At 53.6% G+C, this 20,345-nt stretch overlaps 1 protein-coding gene across 7 annotated transcripts in view, besides 7 other annotated features; it reads left to right on the top strand.

The window, feature by feature from the left end:
- The window catches only part of ZNF385C (zinc finger protein 385C), a 72,898-nt gene that overhangs the window by 18,446 nt on the left and 34,107 nt on the right, over positions 1-20,345 (top strand). For 4 of the 7 annotated variants that reach the window (NM_001378270.1, NM_001392014.1, NM_001392013.1 and 1 more), the window contains exon 2: positions 16,970-17,221. In NM_001378270.1, coding sequence (NP_001365199.1) covers positions 16,972-17,221 — 250 coding nt within the window. In that variant the 5' untranslated portion in view covers positions 16,970-16,971. Of the gene's footprint in view, positions 1-7,428; positions 7,467-14,539; positions 14,613-16,969; positions 17,222-20,345 lie in introns of those variants that run through there. The other 3 variants (NM_001392015.1, NM_001392017.1, NM_001392016.1) reach the window with 3 other exon arrangements.
- Positions 7,263-7,557: a silencer, noted in NCBI's record as "tiled region #2167; HepG2 Repressive DNase matched - State 4:PromP, and K562 Repressive non-DNase unmatched - State 4:PromP". NCBI's record gives its function as "represses a minimal TATA promoter and a strong SV40 promoter by Sharpr-MPRA in HepG2 and K562 cells {active_cell/tissue: HepG2 | K562}" and the evidence as "EXISTENCE:reporter gene assay evidence [ECO:0000049][PMID:27701403]".
- Positions 7,628-8,601: an enhancer, noted in NCBI's record as "H3K4me1 hESC enhancer chr17:40223445-40224418 (GRCh37/hg19 assembly coordinates)". NCBI's record gives its function as "activates a minimal SCP1, AML or CMV promoter by ChIP-STARR-seq in naive H9 embryonic stem cells {active_cell/tissue: H9 hESC(naive)}" and the evidence as "EXISTENCE:reporter gene assay evidence [ECO:0000049][PMID:30033119]".
- Positions 11,507-12,007: an enhancer, noted in NCBI's record as "H3K4me1 hESC enhancer chr17:40220039-40220539 (GRCh37/hg19 assembly coordinates)". NCBI's record gives its function as "activates a minimal SCP1, AML or CMV promoter by ChIP-STARR-seq in primed H9 embryonic stem cells {active_cell/tissue: H9 hESC(primed)}" and the evidence as "EXISTENCE:reporter gene assay evidence [ECO:0000049][PMID:30033119]".
- Positions 12,483-12,777: a silencer, noted in NCBI's record as "tiled region #13373; HepG2 Repressive non-DNase unmatched - State 4:PromP, and K562 Repressive DNase matched - State 12:CtcfO". NCBI's record gives its function as "represses a minimal TATA promoter and a strong SV40 promoter by Sharpr-MPRA in HepG2 and K562 cells {active_cell/tissue: HepG2 | K562}" and the evidence as "EXISTENCE:reporter gene assay evidence [ECO:0000049][PMID:27701403]".
- Positions 15,909-16,008: a silencer, noted in NCBI's record as "silent region_8513". NCBI's record gives its function as "represses an Ori minimal core promoter by ATAC-STARR-seq in GM12878 lymphoblastoid cells {active_cell/tissue: GM12878}" and the evidence as "EXISTENCE:reporter gene assay evidence [ECO:0000049][PMID:35858748]".
- Positions 16,003-16,297: a silencer, noted in NCBI's record as "tiled region #8946; K562 Repressive non-DNase unmatched - State 7:EnhWF". NCBI's record gives its function as "represses a minimal TATA promoter and a strong SV40 promoter by Sharpr-MPRA in K562 cells {active_cell/tissue: K562}" and the evidence as "EXISTENCE:reporter gene assay evidence [ECO:0000049][PMID:27701403]".
- Positions 17,392-17,982: an enhancer, noted in NCBI's record as "H3K4me1 hESC enhancer chr17:40214064-40214654 (GRCh37/hg19 assembly coordinates)". NCBI's record gives its function as "activates a minimal SCP1, AML or CMV promoter by ChIP-STARR-seq in primed H9 embryonic stem cells {active_cell/tissue: H9 hESC(primed)}" and the evidence as "EXISTENCE:reporter gene assay evidence [ECO:0000049][PMID:30033119]".

Raw genomic sequence — 20,345 nt, 5'->3', positions numbered from 1 at the left:
ATTTCTGTTGTGTTGGCAACAAATACAAGCTGAATAGAGCTCTGAGTTGGGAAAAATTGATGGCTGCCTGGCAGCCTTGGGAGGCAAGATGATGGGCAGGAGGGGAGCCTGGACATGGGGATGGGCACCCTGGGTTGGGAGAGTGGATCATTGATGAGATCTTTGGCATTCTACCCAAGCCTGTTTGTCTTCTTTCTTTTTTTTTGCTCCATTAGTTTCCAACGCAAGGCTGTGAGGAAGTTCTTTCTATGGTCTTATCACCATCCCTCCTGCTGTAACTAATGACATCATCCCTCACATCGCAGTGGGCTTTTACAGTTTTAGGGCATTTTCCTTCTTTCTTTTTTTTGGGGGGTGATGGGGGAAGACAGTCTTGCTCTTTCACCCAGGCTGGAGTGCAGTATCACAATAATAGCTCACTGTGGTCTTCAACTCCTGGGCCCAAATGATCCTCCTGTCCCAGCCTCCTGAGCAGCTGGGACTACAGACATGCACCACCATGGTCAACTAATTTTTTTTTTTTTTGTAAAGATAGAGTCTCAAACTCCTGGCCTCAAGTGATCCTCCTGCCTCAGCCTCCCAAAGTGCTGGGATTACAGGCGTGAGCCACTGTGCCTGGTCAGTATTTTTTTTTTTTTTTTTTTTGAGACAGAGTCTCACTGTCACCCAGGCTGGAGTGCAGTGGCATGATCATGGCTCACTGCAGCCTCAATCTCCCGTCTCAGTCTCCCCAGTAGTTGGGATTACAGGTGTGCACCAGCATGCCCAGCTAATTTTTGTTCATATATGTGTGTATATATATATATATGTATATATATATATATTTTTTTTTTTTTTTTTGCGAGACAGGGTTTTGTCATGTTTCTCAGGCTGGTCTCAAACTCCTGGGCTCAAGCAATCCACCCACCTGGTCCTTCCATCCTTCCAAGGTGCCGAGATTACAGGCATGAGCCACCGTGCCGGGCTAGTATATTCTGTTATCTTATTTAATCTTCTCAGACATCAGCCTTGAGTCAGAGGAGTTATTATTAGGCATTGTTGTTACCATTATCTCCATTTTACAGACAGGAAACTAAGATGTGAAGAGAAGGGACAAGTTCCCAGTCACACGATTAGTGGCGAAGTTGCAACGTAAACACATTTGCCTGACTTCAAGTTACTCCAGTTCCCCGCAGTCCCTCCAAATTACACCCGCAGACACACATGCTCACCTCTCTCCCCCACCTCCTCCCCCTTCCATCTTACCACAACCCTGAGGCCACCCCCAGGGAGATCATCCTGTCCATGCCCCTGCCTCTGCCCCAGTGCAGTGGAGCCTCCACGTGGCCTGTATCTGGAGCTCATCTGGTCATGGTCCAGGAGAAGGTGACAGTGGGAAAGTCGGGGGAGTCAAGGGTGTCAGCTGCTGCTGCTTCTTTTTGAGCAAAGACTTTGAAAGTTTAATGTGATAATCTCATCCTGATTACTGCAAACTGAGGTCCTTGGGCTTGTCCAAGAATCCATTACCAACCTCACATGAGGAGCAGGGAGGTTGCACTGGGTTCCCCGCCTCCCTGCTCCCCCAGTCCCCCATGCATACTGGGAAGGATCTGAGTGTTGGTTGAATTTTTTTTTTTTTCTTAATGGAAAGAAGGTGTTTCTGGATCATGGTAGAGATTCTAGGCTTCCTACCTCAGGACCTGGACCAGGAGACCCCAGCCCTTTCCTTTTACATCTGGGAATTTAATATCCTAAAAAGTGCGACTGGTTAGTAGGTTGTGAGGCCAGTCAGAAGGCGTAGAAAATCAGCCCAGCCAGGGATCCCTGGCCCTTGCATCCCCCCACCCCAATACACCGCCAGGGAAACTGAGGCCTGTTACTGTTGTCTCCACATCATCTCTGCCCAGAAGCAAACCAATTAGCACTGTGTCTGGTTCTGTGTTCCCAGTGCCTGTCTCATTATTTGGGGATTTATGTCCCGGTCACTGTGAAGGACAACTGTCCCGGTTTCCACTGGGGGAGCCTGGCTGGCGCTGGAGCCCAGCAGTGGCAGGAGGTGGTGCCGTCCTCCTTGGGGCAGGATGGGGATTTGATTTCAGGGGGATTTGCAACCAGTGGGGAGCCGCCCTGGGCACATGGTGGCTCTGGGCTATTTTAGGAGGCAAAATGTGGGGGGAGGGGTCACAGTGGACTTGTTCAAGCCACTAGAGAGTCTGCCCTTTCAGTGGGGGCAGAAAGAACCCATGATGGGTGGGGTGGGACAGGCCTACCCACTGTTGGGGCCTCTCCCACCCTCCTAGAGCCCAGGAGTCCAGAATGACGCCACCCGTCCTAGCCCCAGTCTGGGCTGTGGGCCGAGCAGGGAAGCTGCTGGCTGGGCCGGGGTCTCTGCTCCTTGCCTGAGTCCCTTTGTTACAGGCTTTGCTTCAGCTGGGGCCCTTAGTGTTATTATTATGAACAATTCTTTTAACCACCTCTTATCTTTGTAGTAGAAATGTTACTTATTGAACATTTGGGAAAGGCCCCAGGAGCAAGAAAAAGGGCACAGCCTTAAATCCAGGCCCATCAGCTGCTGTTCGGTATGGGCCTCTTCCAAGCTGTGTAATGTTGAGGGTTGCATAAGTTCCTTCACCTCTCTGAGCCTCAATGTCCCTCTCTCTAAAGCCGGGACCAGCAACACCTAATTAATAATGCCCCTACTATTAGTTGGGCACATATTATATGGGGTACTTTGCAGGCATGATGTCACACCATCCTCTACACCGTTACCTGTTAATTGCCCTGTTTTAGAGATAAGGAAACTGAAGCTCAGAGAGGGGAAGTAACTTGCCTAAACTCACACAGTCAGAGCAAGGTGCCTGATCCATTTCTCTTTGCACCTACAGTGAGAGTTGGTTCATTCCTCAAATCCAGCAATATGTCTTTGTTACTTTCTGTGTGTCAGGCACTGTTCTAGGGCTGAAGAGTCATCCACAGACAAAACAGAGGAAGAGGAGACAGTGGATAAGACTGGCCAGTAGTGAGAGCTGGAATAGTCAAACTGGAGACTCAGAGGCTTTATTTAGACTAAGCGTCATTTTCTGGAGTGGGGAGGGCAATATTTAAGGGGCCTGAATCCCTCACTGGGCAAGTGGAAGGTGGACCAGGAAGGGCTAGCACCACCTCACACCCCCAGCTCTCCATTACCAGGAAGAGCTTTTTCATTTGTTCTTCCTCTTCACCCCACCTTTGTAGGAAAAAAGTTACTGGGCATATTGGGATAAGGCCTTTAGAAGCACCATGGTATAAAGGAAAGAGACACCCTATGCTTTGGAGTCATCCAATGGGGTCCAAATCCCCACTCTGCCCCTTTCTAGCTGTGTGACCTTGGGCAGGTAAGTTAACTTCTCAGAGCCTCCCCTTCTTTGTTTTTTTTGTGTGTTTGTTTGAGACAGAGTCTCATTTTATCGCCCAGGCTGGAGTGCAGTGGCGCGATCTTGGCTCACTGCCAGCTCCGCCCCCCGGGTTCACACCATTCTCCTGCCTCAGCCTCCTGAGTAGCTGGGACTACAGGCACCCGCCACCACGCCCAGCTAATTTTTTTGTATTTTTAGTAGAGATGGGGTTTCACCGTGTTAGCCAGGATGGTCTCGATCTCCTGACCTCGTGATCCACCCGCCTCGGCCTCCCAAAGTGCTGGGATTACAGGCGTGAGCCACCGCGCCCGGCCAGAGCCTCCCCCTCTTTATCTTCAAAATCTGGAGAGTAGTAGCAAACTTTCAGGGTTAGTAGGGGATGAAATGAGTGGGAAAGGGCATGGGAAGGATCTGGCACACAGAAGGCCCACAATAGACGGCAGTGTTTTGCCTGCGTGCAGAGTTGGAGTTTAGGGGTGTGTTATTCCTAGGTATCTAGGTGAAGCCACGTCTTTGTGGGTGGCACTAAGCTGGCACCTGTGGTCCTGCTGAATGATTTCAATAGGCTAAGCAGAATGGGAGAGCCAGCAAGCCCAAACATACGGTCTGGGCCTCCCAGCGCAGGAAACTACCATTCACTCGGGGGCTGGGATAGGGAGGCTGAACTCACCAGTGCATCACGTGAAAATAGACCTGGGGGTTTCAAGGACGCTCAGCTCTATGTAAAGCTAGTTCAAGGCTGAAGAAAAACTGAGGGATGGGCAGCATTCACAGAGGAGGGCAGAGATGGGGGGAGGTTGTGCTGTCCCTTTTTCTGTTCTATGGAGGATACCAAAAGCCTAAAAGAGTTTAGAGGAATGTGCTAGGCACAGTGGCTCACGCCTGTAATCCCAGCACTTTGAGAGGCCAAGGCAGGTGGATCATGAGGTCAGGAGATCGAGACCATCCTGGCTAACACGGTGAAACCCTGTCTCTACTAAAAATACAAAAAATGAGCTGGGCGTGGTGGTGGGCGCCTGTAGTCCCAGCTACTGGGGAGGCTGAGGCAGGAGAATGGTGTGAACCCGGGAGGCGGAGCTTGCAGTGAGCCGAGATCGCGCCACTGCACTCCAGCCTGGGCGACAGAGCAAGACTCCATCAGAAAAAAAAAAAAAAAAAAAAGGAGTATAAAGGAATGTAACTGGGATAATCCAACACTTGGAAACCATTTATTCAACACATTTTTAATTAAGTGGTTTAGATCAGGTCAGTTGGTCACCATGCAAGGTACCAGGCAAAAGAAATGAATGAAGGCCCAGAACTACCCTGGGGGAGGAGCGCTCAGTATAGTTGGGTAACCAAAGCAGGGTTTGGGAGAGACAGTTTAATTAATACAGTGTGATAAGGGCAGTGTTAGGGTCTCATACAAGGTGCCCTGGGAGCACATACAAGGGGGAGGCACATCTTCAAAGGCTTCCTGGAGGAGGTGACCATGTCAGGGGAAGAATAGCTGAGGCAAATGGGTCTCTTTAGCTGGGAGAAGAGCCCCTTTAGGAAGAAACTGCCTGCTGTGTTTCTCTGGCTGTGGAAGGTGGAGTGCACGTTTTCTGTGTTACCAGGCAGCAGATCTACGACCATTATGCAAGCATTATAGGGAAACAGGTTCCAACCCCCCATTTTAATTAACGTTAGCATAGTGGAATGGGCCATCTTGTTAGGTAGTGATCTCCCCATCATTGGCATGTTCAGGCAGAGGCCAGAGGATACCTTGTCAAAGCTGCTACAAAAGAGATGGGATGACCTCTAAGATCCCTTCCAAGTCTGAACAACTGCAATTCTCCGTGGACAGCCACAGGATGTGGACTGTGATGGAGATCAGTGTGACCGGATTAAGTTAGAGGATGCGTGTGCTGTGGGATAGTGAGGTACATATGGTATACCACGACTGTCCTCCTCACCCTGGATTTACTTTTTAAAAACATCTTTGGCCGGGCGCGGTGGCTCACGCCTGTAATCCCAGCACTTTGGGAGGCCGAGGCGGGTGGAACATGAGGTCAGGAGATCGAGACCATCCTGGACAACATGGTGAAACCCTGTCTCTACTAAAAATACAAAAATAACCTAGCGTAGTGGCATGCGCCTGTTGTCCCAGCTACTTGGGAGGCTGAGGCAGGAGAATCACTTGAACCTGGGAGATGGAGGTTGCAGTGAGCCAAGATTGTGCCATTGCACTCCAGCCTGGGCGACAGAGTGAGACTCCGTCTCAAAAAAAAAAAAAAATCTTTAGTAACTGCTTTATTGAAATATAATTGCATACCATACAATTCCCCCATTTAAAATGTACAATTTAATGTGGATTTATCTTAAAAGTGGAAATGCATTTATTATTCATTCAACAACTATTTATTGAGCATCTATTAAGTATGCAGTAAGCTTTGCACTGGTGTTGTGGATAGCTGGGAAATAAGGGCCCTGCCCTCATGGGGGAGACAGGTCAGGGTGCAAACAAAAGAATTACAACCTGAGAGATACCCTAAGAGGGTGGTAAACTGAGTCTGAGACTAAGAGTGATGAAGCTGGGGAAAGGGGCTCCTGGGGAGGTAACATTTGAGCTGGGGCCTGAGTGACAAGGAGGTATCTCTGTGAATGTTGGGAGGATGTTCCAGACTGAGGGGAGAGCAGGGGCAAGGCCCAAGGCAGGGGTGAGTTGGTGGTTGGTGAACCAGGAAGTGCTAGGAGACTTGGTGGCACCGTGGGTGAGGCATCCCTGAGGCTCCCCACCATGGGGCCTCCTCTCTGTGTGGCCTGGTCCCCAGTAGGCCTGCCCCAGTGCCAGGCAGGTAAATGGCACCGCCACTTCTTCTTTGGCTGCAAGAGCCCTCTGTGTCCGCTTTCCTTGGCTCTTTCTTGCTCTCTTGCCCTGTTATTGCTTCTCCAACAACAGAATGGTGACAGTGCTCTTAGGAGGTCGTGCCACCAGCCCCTGCCTCCTGCTCTTCCTGGTTGGCTCCATGCCCCTGTGTGTGCCCACTGTGTGCTGGACCCTGTGCTTTGATTCCCTGGGAGGAATCAGAAAGGACTCTCAGCCACACACACTGGTGAAGTCTCCCCAGCAGACTCTGGCTGTCTCCCCTGACCTCCAGAGACAGTGCCTAGGAGCAGCCTGGAGTCTCCCATTTGGTGCCCACTTCCTGTGTGACTTTGGACCAGTTACTTAAGGTCCACAACCTTTTTTTTTTTGAGACGAAGTTTCACTTTTCTTACCCAGGCTGGAGTGCAATGGGGTGGTTTTGACTCACTGCAACCTCCACTTCCCAGGTTCAAGCGATTCTCCCATCTTAGCCTCCTGAGTAGCTGGGATTACAGGCGTGCCACTACCCCCGGCTAATTTTTGTACTTTTATAGAGACAGGGTTTCACCATGTTGGCCACGCTGGTCTCGAACTCCTGACCTCAAGTGATCCGCCTGCCTCGACCTCCCAAAGTGCTGGGATTACAGGCGTGAGCCACCGTGCCTACCTAAGTCCCCAATCTTTCTTTTCCTGGTCTGTAAAATGGGGAACTGCACCGCTCTGGGCAGAGTGGTTCTGAGGTTTCAGTGTGATCCCCCTGGCACCCAGCAGGTGGTCCATGAATGTCAACTTCCTCCCACTCCCTGAGTTTCCTTGCAAAAGAGGGGCCTGCTTGCCAGAGGTAGCGGCCGGGGGCGGAAGGTGGTGCTGACAGGGGGTGGGGGAAGGCAGCCAGTTTGGGGTCCCCTTCCCTGAGCTCTGGGACACCTTGGGAGCCCTCAGGTACGCTGGGCCTGGTCAGCCGGGGTAGGCGGGATACTCACCCGTGCGCGCAGCTCTTCAGCCAGGAGAGCCTCCGAGTCTCCCCTCTCTTCCTCCCACCCGGGGAGCCCCACCGCTGAGCCCCTCTCCCGCCAAGGCTGTCCTGGGCCGGCGGGGGCGGCGCGGCTCCTGGCACCTGCTCCCGTCGGGCCGCCCGGGGGCGGGCTCGGAGACGCTGTGGCTGTCCCGGGAGAGCGCGGGGCCGGGAGCTGCGACTCAGGACCGCCCCGGGTGGCCGCGAGCGGCTGGACGCAGCCGGGTTTGTCCGGAGCGCTCTCCAGGTAGGCGCGGGCGCCGGACTCGGGCCCGCACTCCCCGCCGCCCATCCCGGACCCACGCGCCGCGGGGGCAGAGCCGGCGGGAGGGGGCCCGCCGCGTGCTCAGCACTTAGGTGGTTCTGCAGGGCTGGGGGCAGCGGCGGAGACCCTTCTTGCCTGGTGACCGGGAAAGAACCGCAACTTAACCGGAAACTGAGGTCGCGAGGAGGACACCAAGGGTGATGGCAAGAAGGACTTCCAGCTCCCATTAGGGGGAGAGAGGGAGTACAGGGTGAGACTCCCCCTCTACTCCCACCCACCCTAAGGAGAGGACCATTCTCCGGAGATAGGGGGCGCGACCAGATAACCCACCGTCTTTTCTTAAGAAGTTTAGAGAATCCAAAAGTTGATCCACCCCTATCAACACTGAGATGGAATAGAAGGGAAGGGGTAGGGGAGGGAAGAGCAACAATTATCTTTTGGGGGGTGCAAAAAGTACTCCTGCTCCCCCACCCTCCACCTCATTCACAGTCATTGGAGGACTTCCTGTCCCGCCCCTTCCTACCCCCAACGTGCAGAATGTCTCAGCTTCAGCAAGGGGCATGGGGGGGCCCCTGGCCAGAACACTCTGCCCCCACCCACAACTCAGGAACAGTCCCAGGAGCTCCCAACCCTCCTCCTTCTGGCTTCCAGGACTTAGGCTCCTGCCCTGACTTGGACGTGGTGACTAGTGGAAAGCAGGGAGTGGGGTTTGAGGGAGCTCCCCTTCTGGGTCCTATGGGATTGGGCAGGGAGAGCAGGAGAGCAGGCAGGAGATAAACCCGGGCTGTGCCAGGATCCTGAGCCCTGGTGCTCCTAGGAGGGGGCATGGGGCCGGCGGGTCTCCTCTGCCTGCTGAGTGTGAACAGGGCAATAGGTCAGATTTCCTGGGCTTTGCCTGGCAGCAGAGGCAAGGACAGGGGGTATGGAGACAACCATCCCACCTTACAAGCAGCTGCTCTGTGTTGCCACTATGGACCCTGCAAGGAGAGATGCAGGTTAGACAGCAAGAAGGACTTCCTTCCTGAGGGTAGGGGTCTTTGGGGGAGTGTCAGTGGCCAGCAGAGCCAGCCCCTGTCTTTGGGGGTGTCAGGAGGGACTGAGGCCCTCTGGAGGATGCAGACAACTGGGGGTGAGGACAGAGCAGACCAGGGAGGGGAGGCGGTGGGGGACAGTGACTTCATCTCTGGACCATACTGCTCCTTCACCTCCTGTGCCCTCTCTCCCTCCCTTGGAGCTGGAGTGTTGGCTTTCAGCAGCTCACTCCTGAAATCTCCAGCACCCAGAAGGCCCCAGGGGAAGGCGACAGGCTTCCTCTGTCACCACTTCAGATGGGAAGACAGACATGGTGCCTTGGGTGTGTCCAGCGGAACCCCTCACCTGGCACCTGGAGCAGCTGTTGCCTAGCCCCCGGGCCTCCTGTTCTGGCAAAGCAGGGGTGTATGTGCTGGGGTCTGGCGCAGGTGACTCCTCTGGATCCTCTGAGGGGATCTCAGGGTGTGGCCCTGGGTGACCCCAGCTCCCTGGGCCCATGGAATAGCTGGGATGGGTGCCACTCTGTGGTGGCCACACCACTAAAGAGGGCTGTTTCCCCTTCCTCGCCCTGGGGAGGTGTCAGTGCTGGGAGAGGGCAGTGGGGAGGTGGCAGGGTGGAGAAGCCAAAATGCTCATTGACGGCCCCTCAGGGACACTCAGCGGGTACCCAGGCCCAGGAGGGCTTGCACTCTGCTAGGACAGGAACAGATGAGGCTTCTCTTCTTCCAGGTGCTTCTCTCTGCAGCTGGGCTGGTAGGGAGGGCCAGGATCCCACACTCCTGCCTGTGACCCCATGAATGACTGGGATGGGGCCTGCCAGGGTCCTCACCCCCTGCCTTTGCCTCATAGAATGGAGGAGACCTGGCCCTACCTACTTGCCTCTCTTTGTGATGCTGAGCCTCAGTTGCCTCATGTGTCAAGCCTCGCAGGATTGTTCTGAGGATTCATGGAGGCGATGTTTCTGTTGTGCTCCAGGGACAACAGGCGCTTGCCACCAGGTGCACCCACCCTGCCTTTCTCCCAGGCTAAGGCAGAATCATATACCTTGGCCTCCACTGCCTTCCACCTTAGCAGTAGCGGCTCTGTGTGGCCACTGCAATTCAGCCTGCAAAGGACCTAGGAGCCCAATCCCCTCTCTTATCTATTTTATTTTATTTTTTACTTTTTTGAGATGGAGTCTCGCTCTGTCGCACAGGCTGGAGTGCAGTGGCGCGATCTCGGCTCACTGCAAGCTCCGCCTCCCGGGTTCACGCCATTCTCCTGCCTCAGCCTCCTGAGTAGTGGGACTACAGGCACCTGCCACCACGCCTGGCTAATTTTTTTGTATTTTTGGTAGAGATGGGGTTTCATCGTGTTAGCCAGGATGGTCTCGATCTCCTGACCTCATGATCCGCCCGCCTCGGCCTCCCAAAGTGCTGGGATTACAGGCGTGAGCCACCGCGCCCTGCTATTTTTTACTTATTTATTTTTTTGAGACGGAGTTTCATTGTCTCTGGGGCTGGAGTGCAGTGGTGCAATCTCGGCTCATTGCAACCTCTGCCTCCCAGGTTCAAGCAATTCTCCTGCCTCAGCCTCCCGAGTAGTTGGGATTACAGGCACTCACCACCATGTTGGCTAATTTTTGTATCTTTAGTAGAGACGGGGTTTCACCATGTTGGCCAGGCTGGTCTCAAACTCCCAGCCTCAGGTGATCCACCTGCCTTGGCCTCCCAAAGTGCTGGGATTACAGGCAAGAGCCACCACGCCTGGCCCCCTCTCTTTAAAGACAGGAAACCAAAGCCCAGCGAGGCAGGGTCTGGCCCAAGTTTGGCCGGCCAGCCAGCCTGGCCTGGTCTGGGAAGTAGGCTGGGGAGGCGGGAGGGTGGCTGTTGGCTGACATGGAGGAAAATGCCAGAGGGTAACTGGGCTTGTTAAGGGTTTGAGGAGGGAACCCTTCATGCTCTGCCAAAGGCTGGGGACAGGTCTCGAACCTTCCTCTCCGGTTACCTCTTTAGGAGAAGCAGCCTTTTCTGGAGGACTCCTTTCCCAGGCTGCAGCAGAAACAACCGTCTGCTGCCTGTTTTCTGGCCTCCACAGTCCCCTCCATTCAGCCCTCTCTGGATGGACAGGCAGGGAATCTCATCACCTCACGGTGGCCAAGGACCCCATGGAAACCCAGGGACCTCACGTGCATTTGTCACCCAACCAGAAGTGGTGGAGATGGGACCCCAGAGCCCTGCCTGCGTGCTCCCCCCAACCCACCCCCCAGCTCCACATTGATGGACACACAGGCAGACAGGCAGACAGAAACTGGGCTACACAGCTCTCCAGCACAGGTAGTGTGAGCCTGCCTCCAAGTGGGTGGCTCCCTCCCAGGGCCCAACCCCTACCCTCTCTGCAGCAGCCTCAGCCCATCTCTCAGGGAAGACAGGGAACAGAGGGAGATTTAACCAGCTTCCTGTAGAAATCCCAGACAGACAGACAGACAGATGGATGGGTACATACACGCTTTTTCTCTGCTTTCCCCTTGTCCTTCCTCCCCACCTCTTTGGCTCTGGCCCCACCTCTTTCTACCCAGGGTGTAGCCCGTCTCTGCGAGGCACAGGGCCTGATAGAGGCTGCACAACCCTGCCCCTCCCCAGAGCCCTTCTCTGAATCTGTGGCCCCCTCCCCACCCATCAGTTCAGGTCAGGATTTGGCAGGCTTTAAGGAGAGGTGGGATGGGGCAGTGGGTAAGGACTTGGGCTTTGAGTCAGACAAGCATAGGTCCAGGTCCAGCCACAGAACCTCCCAAAGCCTGTTCTCTAATCTATGCAGTGGGATAACAGGTTAATAATGGTGCTCATCTCATGGAATTGTGAAGTTTAAGAGAGATCCTGTTTGGGCATGGTGGCACATGCCGGTAATCCCAGCTACTTGGGAGGCTGGGGCAGGAGGTTCACTTGATCCCTACAAGTTTGAGGCCAGCCTGGAGCCTGGGAAACGTAGTCAAACCCTATCCCCCCCAAAAAAGAAAAAAGACCCTTTTTGTCAAACACCTGGCCCACAGTAAGCCCTCAATAAATGGGGTTGTTATTTCATAAAGAAGATGTGACGTAAGCAGCTGGGGGGCGAAGAGAAAGACAGGGAAGCCTCTATAATCAGCTCATGCATCGTCTTTCCATTTGCTTTGAAGCAAGTCCACTGCCCTGCTCTGGAACTCAGTTTCCCCATCTGCTTAAGGCAGCATGTGGACTAGGTCCTGTCCAAGTGTAGGTCCTGCTAGCGTGGGTCATGCTGGCTCTGAGTAGGGGCCAGGGTTGGGGATGCCGAGCTGCCGATGCTCAGGGCAGGGTTAGACAGACCTGTGTGCCCCCGTCACTGCCCACCCGTCCACACTTTCTGACTGGGCTCCCCTAGCTTAGCTGGGGCAGTGTGGCTCCTAAGGGAACAGCTGGGAAGGCTGGGTCAGGCAGGGCAGGCTGCAGCAGGCCCAGCAGCCTGGCTGGGGGGAACACAATTAGCCCAGAATCCAGGCGGCCCCGTGAGCCCAGAGGCTATATATCACAGAGGTTTAATCAGCTGTGTGGCAGATATTTGCTCTCTTGGGCGATGTCCCCGGCCCGCCTGTCATAAATTGCACTGAGATTTCAAAATACCCCTGTCCCCATGCTGGCGGGGCAGGCAGCTCTCCTTGGCATGGCCAGGAAAATCTCATTCCTCTGAAGCCTCCACCCGGGGAATGGGACCTCTCCCCCCACCAACACTTGCACCTAAGACCTTCTTCCTGCCTCCTCCTGCTGGGAGAGTTGGGGAGGACATGGAGAGGCAGGAGAGTCGCTGTGATGACCTCCATCTAGAGGTGAGAAGGTGCAAAATATTGGTGGGGGGCTCCATGCAGTAATGGGGCCTTCTCACAATGGCAGTGACCTCCAGTGTGCCCTCTGTGGGAAGAGCTATACCCTGGACCCGTGGTGTGGCTCCAGGAGACAGCTGCATTGCCCCTTGAGTGTGGGGACTGGGGTCTGTCATGCCCAGGGGGTACGGAGTCTTCACCTACCTTCCCACTGGATGTTTGCTGCGCCACCTGGAGGCTATCTGTGGGACTGCCGCCCAGCCACAACATCCAAACCCTAGCAGCAGGGTTTGGACCATCAAATCACCAAGCACTTATGACCACACCAGGGTGAGATCTATGGCGCGTTAGTTTGTTAGGGCTCCCATAACAAAGTGCCACAGGCTGGGTGGCACTTAAACAGTAGAAGTTTATTGTCTCAGTTCTGGATCCTAAAAGTCCAAGATCAATATGTGTCAGCAAGGCTGGGCGCAGTGGCTCATAACTGTGATCCCAGCACTTTGGGAGCCCGAGGCTGGAGGATCTATTCAGCCCAAGTGTTTGAGGTTACAGTGAGCTATGATCACACTGCTCCACTTCAGCCTGGGCAACAGAGCAAGACCCTGTCTCTCTCTCTTTTTTTTTTTTCTGAGACGGAGTCTTGCTCTGTTACCTAGGCTTGAGTGCCATGGCACGATCTCGACTCACTGCAACCTCTGCCTCCCAGGTTCAAGCAATTCTCTTGCCTCAGCCTCCTGAGTACCTGGGATTACAGGCACCCACCACCGCGCCTGGCTAATTTTTTTGTATTTTTAGTGGAGACAGAGTTTCACCATGTTGGCCAGGCTGGTCTTGAACTCCTGATCTCGTGATCCACCCACCTCGGCCTCCCAAAGTGCTGGGATTACAGGCGTGAGCCACTGCGCCCAGTCAATTTCACCTTTTCATAAGGACACCAGTCATGTATATTGGATTACGGGCCCACCCTATACCAGTCTGGCCTTATCTTAATAGCATCTGCAACGACCCTATTTCCAAATAAGGTCATATTCTGGAAGTGCTGGGGATTAGGATGTCAACATATTGAATTTTGGGGGACATAATTCAACCAATATCACATAGTGAGTCTCAGATGTTCAGTGACAGTCTCATTTCATGGTCTGGGCACAATGACACCCACACTATGGCACAGCTACACTACGACATGCACACAGAGTGAGTGACATAGATTCACCTCAACAAACGATGGGGTAACAGACATTTGCAGTGACCCAGGTACATCATGACAGACACACAGGGTGACAGACTTCACTCACAAGCTGCAAGAGACAGACACACTATGTGTTAATAACAGCTGATTGGCCGGGCACCAGTGGCTCACGCTTGTAATCCCAGCACTTTGGGAGGCCGAGGTGGGCGGATCACGAAGTCAAGAGATCGAGACCATCCTGGCCAACATTGTGAAACCCTGTCTCCACTAAAAATACAAAAATTAGCTGGGAGTGGTGGCACGCGCCTGTAGTCCCAGCTACTCGGGAGGCTGAGGCAGGAGAATCACTTGCACCCGGGAGGCAGAGGTTGCAGTGAGCCAAAATAGTGCCACTGCATTCCAGCCTGGGCAACAGTGTGAGACCCTGTCTCAAACAAAACAAAACAAAACAGACAAACAAACAAAAAACAGCTGATTTTGTAGGGCACCGAGAAGCATATTACATAGATTATAGATCAGCTCATCTAATCCCCACAATGTGTGTATGACTTAGGAACTGTTATTGATCACTCCCATTCTACAGAGGTATAGACGAAGGAACTGAGCTCAGGTCACACAGCCAGTGAGTGACAGAGCTGAGATTTGAACCCAGGTATGAATCAGCATGGAGCTCCTGCTCTTGGCTGGGCATGGTGGCTCATGCCTGTACCCCAGCACTTAGGGATGCCGAGGCGGGCAGACCACATGAGCACAGAAGTTTAAGACCAGCCTGGGCAACATAGCGAGACCCTGTCTCTATTGAAATTTTAAACATACATAAAATTTCAAAGAGCTCCTGCCCTTATCGCTGTGCTCCTCTGTTCCATCCACACACAGTCCCCACACTTGTCACGACAGACATGTTATGTGGGATCACTGCTCACAAAAAGGACAAGCAGCTTACTGAGAATGGGGGTGGCATCTGGGGACTACAGGCAGGTTTTTGGCCTTGGGCTTGTAAAATTAATTTTCCTTGTTCAGATGCGGGCTCCACTGTTGGATGTATAGTCTTGTGAAGACATTGTGACATCACTGGACTGGTCTGATCTGCAAAGTAAGCATGGGCCTCAGAACACAGGAAATGCCCTCTGGGGAGATGAGCTTGTCTGCTCAGGTTGCCATAACAAAGTACCACAGACTCAGTGGCTTCGACAGTGGAGATGTAATTTCTCACAGTTCTGGAGGCTAGAAGTCCAAGATCAAGGTGTCAGGAGGGTTCATTTCTTCAAAGGCCTCTCTTCTTGGCTTGAAGATGGTCTTCCCTCTATAACTATCTGTGTCTAAATTTCCTCTTCTTATAAAGACACCAGTCATATGAGACCCAGCGCGGTGGCTCACACCTGAAATCCCAGCGCTTTGGGAGGCTGAGGTGAGCAGATCACTTGAGGCCAGGAGTCCGAGACCAGCCTGGCCAACATGGCACTACCCCATCTCTACTAAAAAAAAATACAAAAATCAGCTGGGCATGGTGGCAGATGCTTGTAATCCCAGCTACTCAGGAGGCTGAGGCAGGAGAATTGCTTGAATCCGGGAGGCAGAGGTTGCAGTGAGCTGAGATTGTGCCACTGCACTCCAACCTGGGTGATAGAGTAAGACTCTGTCTCCCACTGGGTGCAGTGGCTCATGGCTGTAATCCCAGCACTGTGGGAGGCCAAGGTGGGAGGATCACCTGAGGTCAGGAGGTCGAGACCAGCCTGGACAACATGGCAAAACACTGTCTCTACTAAAAATACAAAAATTAGCTGGGCGTGGTGGCGGACACCTGTAGTCCCAGCTACTTGAGAGGCTGAGTTGAGGCAGGAGAATCACTTGAACCCAGGAGGTGGAGGTTGCAGTGAGCCGAGATCACACCAATGCACTACAGCCTGGGTGACACAGCGAGACTCCATCTTGAAAAAAATAAAGACACCCATCATATGAATTAGGGCCCACCGGTATGACCTCATTAACTTAATTACCTCTTTGAAGACCCCATCTCCAAATAGAGTTACTTTCTAAGGTACTGGGGGTTATTACTTCAACATATGCATTTTGAGGGGACACACTTCAGTCCATAACAGGAGAGATGGGCTCAGTATGACTCACCCAGGCCCTAGCCTTGGGGTTGCCCCAGCCTGAGGGAGGGACACAGATCTTGCTCTCAGGAAGCCCCTGTCTGAAGCAGAGGCAGGAAGCATGCACGCAGATTTCCGAGAGAAGGCAAAATTCACTGAGCAGCCCCAGAATAGAAATGGTTAGAGGCAGACAAGTCAGGCAGGGCAAGTTTCAGAGAAGTGACTTGGAAAGGAAAGACTGTCTATGGGAGATGGGGGCCTGGAGGGGCCACTTGAGGGTCCCGAAGAGACAGAAAGTGTGTGTGTGTGTGTGTGTGTGTGTGTGTGTGTGTGTGTGTGTGTATGTGCGTGTGCGCGCGTTGGGGGACAGGGCGGGGGCAGGGGCGCTGTCTTCAGCCGACCCAGGCAGCAAGGCTCAGGTCTCTACCGAAACCACCAACTGTTGCCTCGGCCTCGGTTGCCAAGACAGCAGGGGGCATCTGGAGCCACGTGGAGCAGGGGTTGGGATGGCTTCACACACTGTCACCATTTGTGAATGTCACCCTGCTGGGTGCAGGGCACAGGAAGGTTGTGTTTTTGGCTGGCGGCTGCTGCGTCTCCAGTAAGCGCCACATGCCTGGCTGTCACAGGATTGCCAGCGCTTGCTGTAGAGCTGAGAACAGGACTCTCGCTTCCTCAAATGTGACTCAGCTGGCCTTGCCACTGCCTCTCCCTCAGTGACCACCTTTCCTCCAAGACCCCAGTCCGCCTCTCTGAGATATGTTCTGCGGCCCTCCGAGTCCCCAGGTGTCTTGGCCTCCCCGTGTGTAGACATGTCGGACACCCTTCCAGAAAGTCCCAAGTTTTTTTGTTTTTGTTTTTGTTTTTTGTTTGTTTTTTCTTTCTGAAATGGAGTTTTGCTCTTGTTGTGGAAGCTGGAGTGCAATGACACCCGATCTTGGCTCACTGCAACCTCCGCCTCCCGGGTTCAAGTGATTCTCCTGCATCAGCCTCCTGAGTAGCTGGGATTACAGGCATGCGCCACCATGCCCAGCAAATTATGTATTTTTAGTAGAGACAGGGTTTCACCATGTTGGTCAGGCTGGTGTCAAACTCCTGACCTCAGGTGACCTGCCCGCCTCGGCCTCCCAAAGTGCTGGGATTACAGGCGTGAGCCACAGCCAAGAGTCCCAAGTTTTAATGCTGCTTTGCTTGAAATAGACCCCATTATGCGCCCTTCCACCATCCTCGGGCTGGGGCATTTCAGAGGGATATAGAGGATACAGAGCCCCGTGTCTCCCGGTCTTGAGCCCCTCCTGCTCTCTCTAAGAATTCGCAACCATTTGGCGTTCATTCATCTCCCTCTCTATCCACTCAGATATGAAGCGGCCACTGAGCCCACCCCCACCGGCTGAGAAGGAGACCCCCATATCTGGAGCTGCTGAGTGCCTCCCTCGGCCCCCAGAACCACCTAAGCCCAAGCGAGAAAGAAAGCGGCCATCGTACACGCTCTGTGATGTCTGCAACATCCAGCTGAACTCGGCGGCCCAGGCCCAGGTGCACTGTGGGGGGCGGGCCCACCAGAGGCGGCTTCGGCAGCTCAGCTTGGGGAAGAGCCCCTCAGGGCCAGGTCAGTGTAGAGGGGACGCTGCTCCCACAAATTTGGTTTGGGGAGTATCTCTGTCTGGGCCCCTCTGAGGGGCTCTGGGTCTGTGGCCTCCCTCCATGGGGGTCTTTGCGTCTGGGGTGCCCTCAATGGGGTCTTAGGGTCTGAAGCCTCCCCGATGCCAGCAAGTTTTATTCTGCATCTGGACAACCCTTCTGTAGGACCTCTCGGAATCTGTGGGTCCTTAGGCCGCCTCTTGGGTCTTTGTTTCTAGGGAACTCTCCCTGTGGGATCTTTTGGGATCAGGACTCCTAAGCAGCACTTCTCCAGCCTGGAGCCTCCTGGTAGCCACAGGCTTTCAGACAAGGGCCTCATCTGCGGGGTGGGGGTCCCAGGCTCCAGCTCAGGTCTGTGGTCTCTGAAGGCCAAGGTCAGCAAGGTACACAGCACTCCAACCCAGGGACAAGGGGGAGGCCCCTCTTCCTTTGGACTCCTGGCCAGGATTTCTGCTTCTCCCTAGCTGGGGTGACTTTGCAGAGGTTTGGCTATGAGCTTGGAAGGGGCAGCTGGCTGCAAGGCAGATTTCTGGGGGAAATGGGTGAATGCCTCCATGAGGGTGATTCTAGCTGACAGGTGCACAGGGGCCATAGGGAAAGTAAGAACCACCCAGGCTGCTGTTGGCAGAGCAAACAGATTCACATTCAGGCTCAGTGTGGGGAGGTGGGAAAGGCAGGAACTTACCCCTGGCTCCTGGGGGAGGCCAACAGAAACCTACCTTGCAGCCCAGGCTGGCAGTTTTGCCGGAGGCTACACTCTGACCTCAGACACCCTCTTGAGGGCTGTCTTCTCTTTTGGTGATATTCATGGGGCACCCACTGTGTCCCCCGCTCCACACACACAATCCTGTAGGCCAGAGACAAGTAAGATCCAATCTCTCTGCTTACCACCCTCCCCAAGATTGAGTGGGTCTTTTGGGTGGAGACACATGTGAAAAGGGATAAGGGTTGTGGTTGCCACATGGGACATACCCTCAGGGCACAAAGGCAAAGCTGCAGTCCCTGGGGGCAGCAGGAAAGTCTCCTGAAGGAAGAGGGGGCTGAGCCTCGGAACATGGATGAGGGGAGTAGGGGCATTACAGGCAGAGGTCACGGCATAAGCAAAGGCCAGGGTGCTCTGGTGACTGGGACCAGCTCCTCCCCACCCAATTATTTCAGGCTGGACACCAAAAGCATGACTCTGAGCAAGAGAGTATCTGACTGATGGGTGTTTCTGGAGCATATGTGTCTGTCTGGATTCGAAAGTCACTCATTGGCTGGGCATGGTGGCTCATGCCTGTAATCCTAGCACTTTGGGAGGCTGAGGCAGGTGGGTCACTTAAGGCCAGGAGTTTGAGACCAGCCTGGCCAACATGGCAAAACCCCATTTCTACTAAAAATGCAAAAATTAGCCAGGTATGGTGGCACACACCTGTAGTCCCAGCTACTCGGGAGGCTGAGGCAGACGAATCACTTGAACCCAGGAGGTGGAGGTTGCAGTGAGCCGAGATTGTGCCACTGCACTCCAGCCTGGGTGACAGAGTGAGACCCTGTCTCAAAAAAAAAAAAAAAAAAAAAAAAAAAAAAATTAACTCATTAATTCACCAAATATTTATTGACCACCTACTAGGTGTAAGCTGCTTTTGGGAGATTCATGTTTTTAAAAGACATCATATCTGCCTGTCAGGAAAAAGCTATCTAAATAAATACATATGCAGATGAGTTTGTTCCAAGATAATAACAGGCTTCCTAGAGGTGGATTCAGGGTGCCTCAAGAAGTCAGAGGAGGGGCCAGGCTCACGCCTGTAATCCCAACACTTTGGGACCCCAAAGCGGGCAGATTGCCTGAGCTCAGGAGTTCGAGACCAGCCTGGGCAACATGGCGAAACCTCATCTACTAAAAAAACAAAATATTAGCCTGGTGTGGTGGTGAGCACCTGTAGTCCCCGCTACTTGGGAGGCTGAGGCACGAGAATTGCTTGAGCCCAGGAGGTGGAGGCTGCAGTGAGCTGAGATCACACCATTGCACTCCAGCCGGGGCAACAGAGGGAGACCCTGTCTCAAAAAAAATAAAATAAAAATAGAAGTCAGAGGAGGGAGAGGCAAACTGACATGGGAAGTGACATTGATCGTGGATACTGGAGACAAAGAGAGGATCCCAGGCAGGGAAGCAGCCGGAGCAAAGGCATTGAGGCCTGCAAGCCCATGGCTCTTTGGGTGGGGAGGGGCACCATCTTAGGGGTCATCAGGAGACATGAGGCCTGGTACTCCAGTCCAGATTGTTAAATCAGACCTGTGAAGTCACTGGCCATCAGTGTGCTGGGTGTGTGCAGGGAGTGTGCAGGGTGTGGAGAGGACAGCGGGAGCCACCTGCAAGAGCCTTGCCACCAGGCTGGGCTTTGACCTTTGTTCTGAAGGTGATGGGCATTGCAGAAGCGGTTTGAGCAGGAGCAGTTAGTGTTTTTAGGTGTCTCTGGCTCGAGGGTACATAAGAAGGAAAGTGAGGTGAAATGGAGAAATAGATTCTGGAGCCTTTTCTTTAGCAGAACTGTCAAGACTTGGTGGCCAATGGGATGTGGGGTGTGTGGGGGGTGCCACGGACACCTCTAGCTTAGGCAGTGCCACAGAGGGCAGCTCAGTTATCAGAAAGGGGGTGCTGAGAGGGAGACAGAAATGGAGGGCTGACACTGAGTGGGGAAGGCCAGTCCTGTGGCTGAGGATGTTGTCTGGTCTTTGTTCCTCTTGTAACACAGCCTCTTCAGGTCTTACTTCCTGGGCAACGGTCCCTGTGGTAAAAGCTCCTCCCTTCCCAATCCCACCACACCAAGATGAAGGGAGCAGGTGTGGGGAGAGGAGAAAAGACCACAGCTCCAGGGCCAGGTGCGGAGGCTCACGCCTGTCATCCCAACACTTTGGGAGGCTGAGGCAGGAGGATAACTTGAGGTCAGGAGTTTGAGACTAGCCTGGCCAATATGGTGAAACCCCGTCTCTACCAAAAATACAAAAATTAGCCGGGCATGGTAGCACATGCCTGTAATCCCAGTTACTGGCGAGGCTGAGTCACAAGAATCGCTTGAACACAGGAGGCGGAGGTTGCAGTGAGCTGAGATCGC

The sequence above is a fragment of the Homo sapiens genome, chromosome 17 (assembly GCF_000001405.40).
Source record: "Homo sapiens chromosome 17, GRCh38.p14 Primary Assembly".
Classification (NCBI taxonomy): domain Eukaryota; kingdom Metazoa; phylum Chordata; class Mammalia; order Primates; family Hominidae; genus Homo; species Homo sapiens.
Note: the sequence above shows the minus strand (reverse complement) of the source record. Positions and strands in the feature narration are given on the sequence as shown.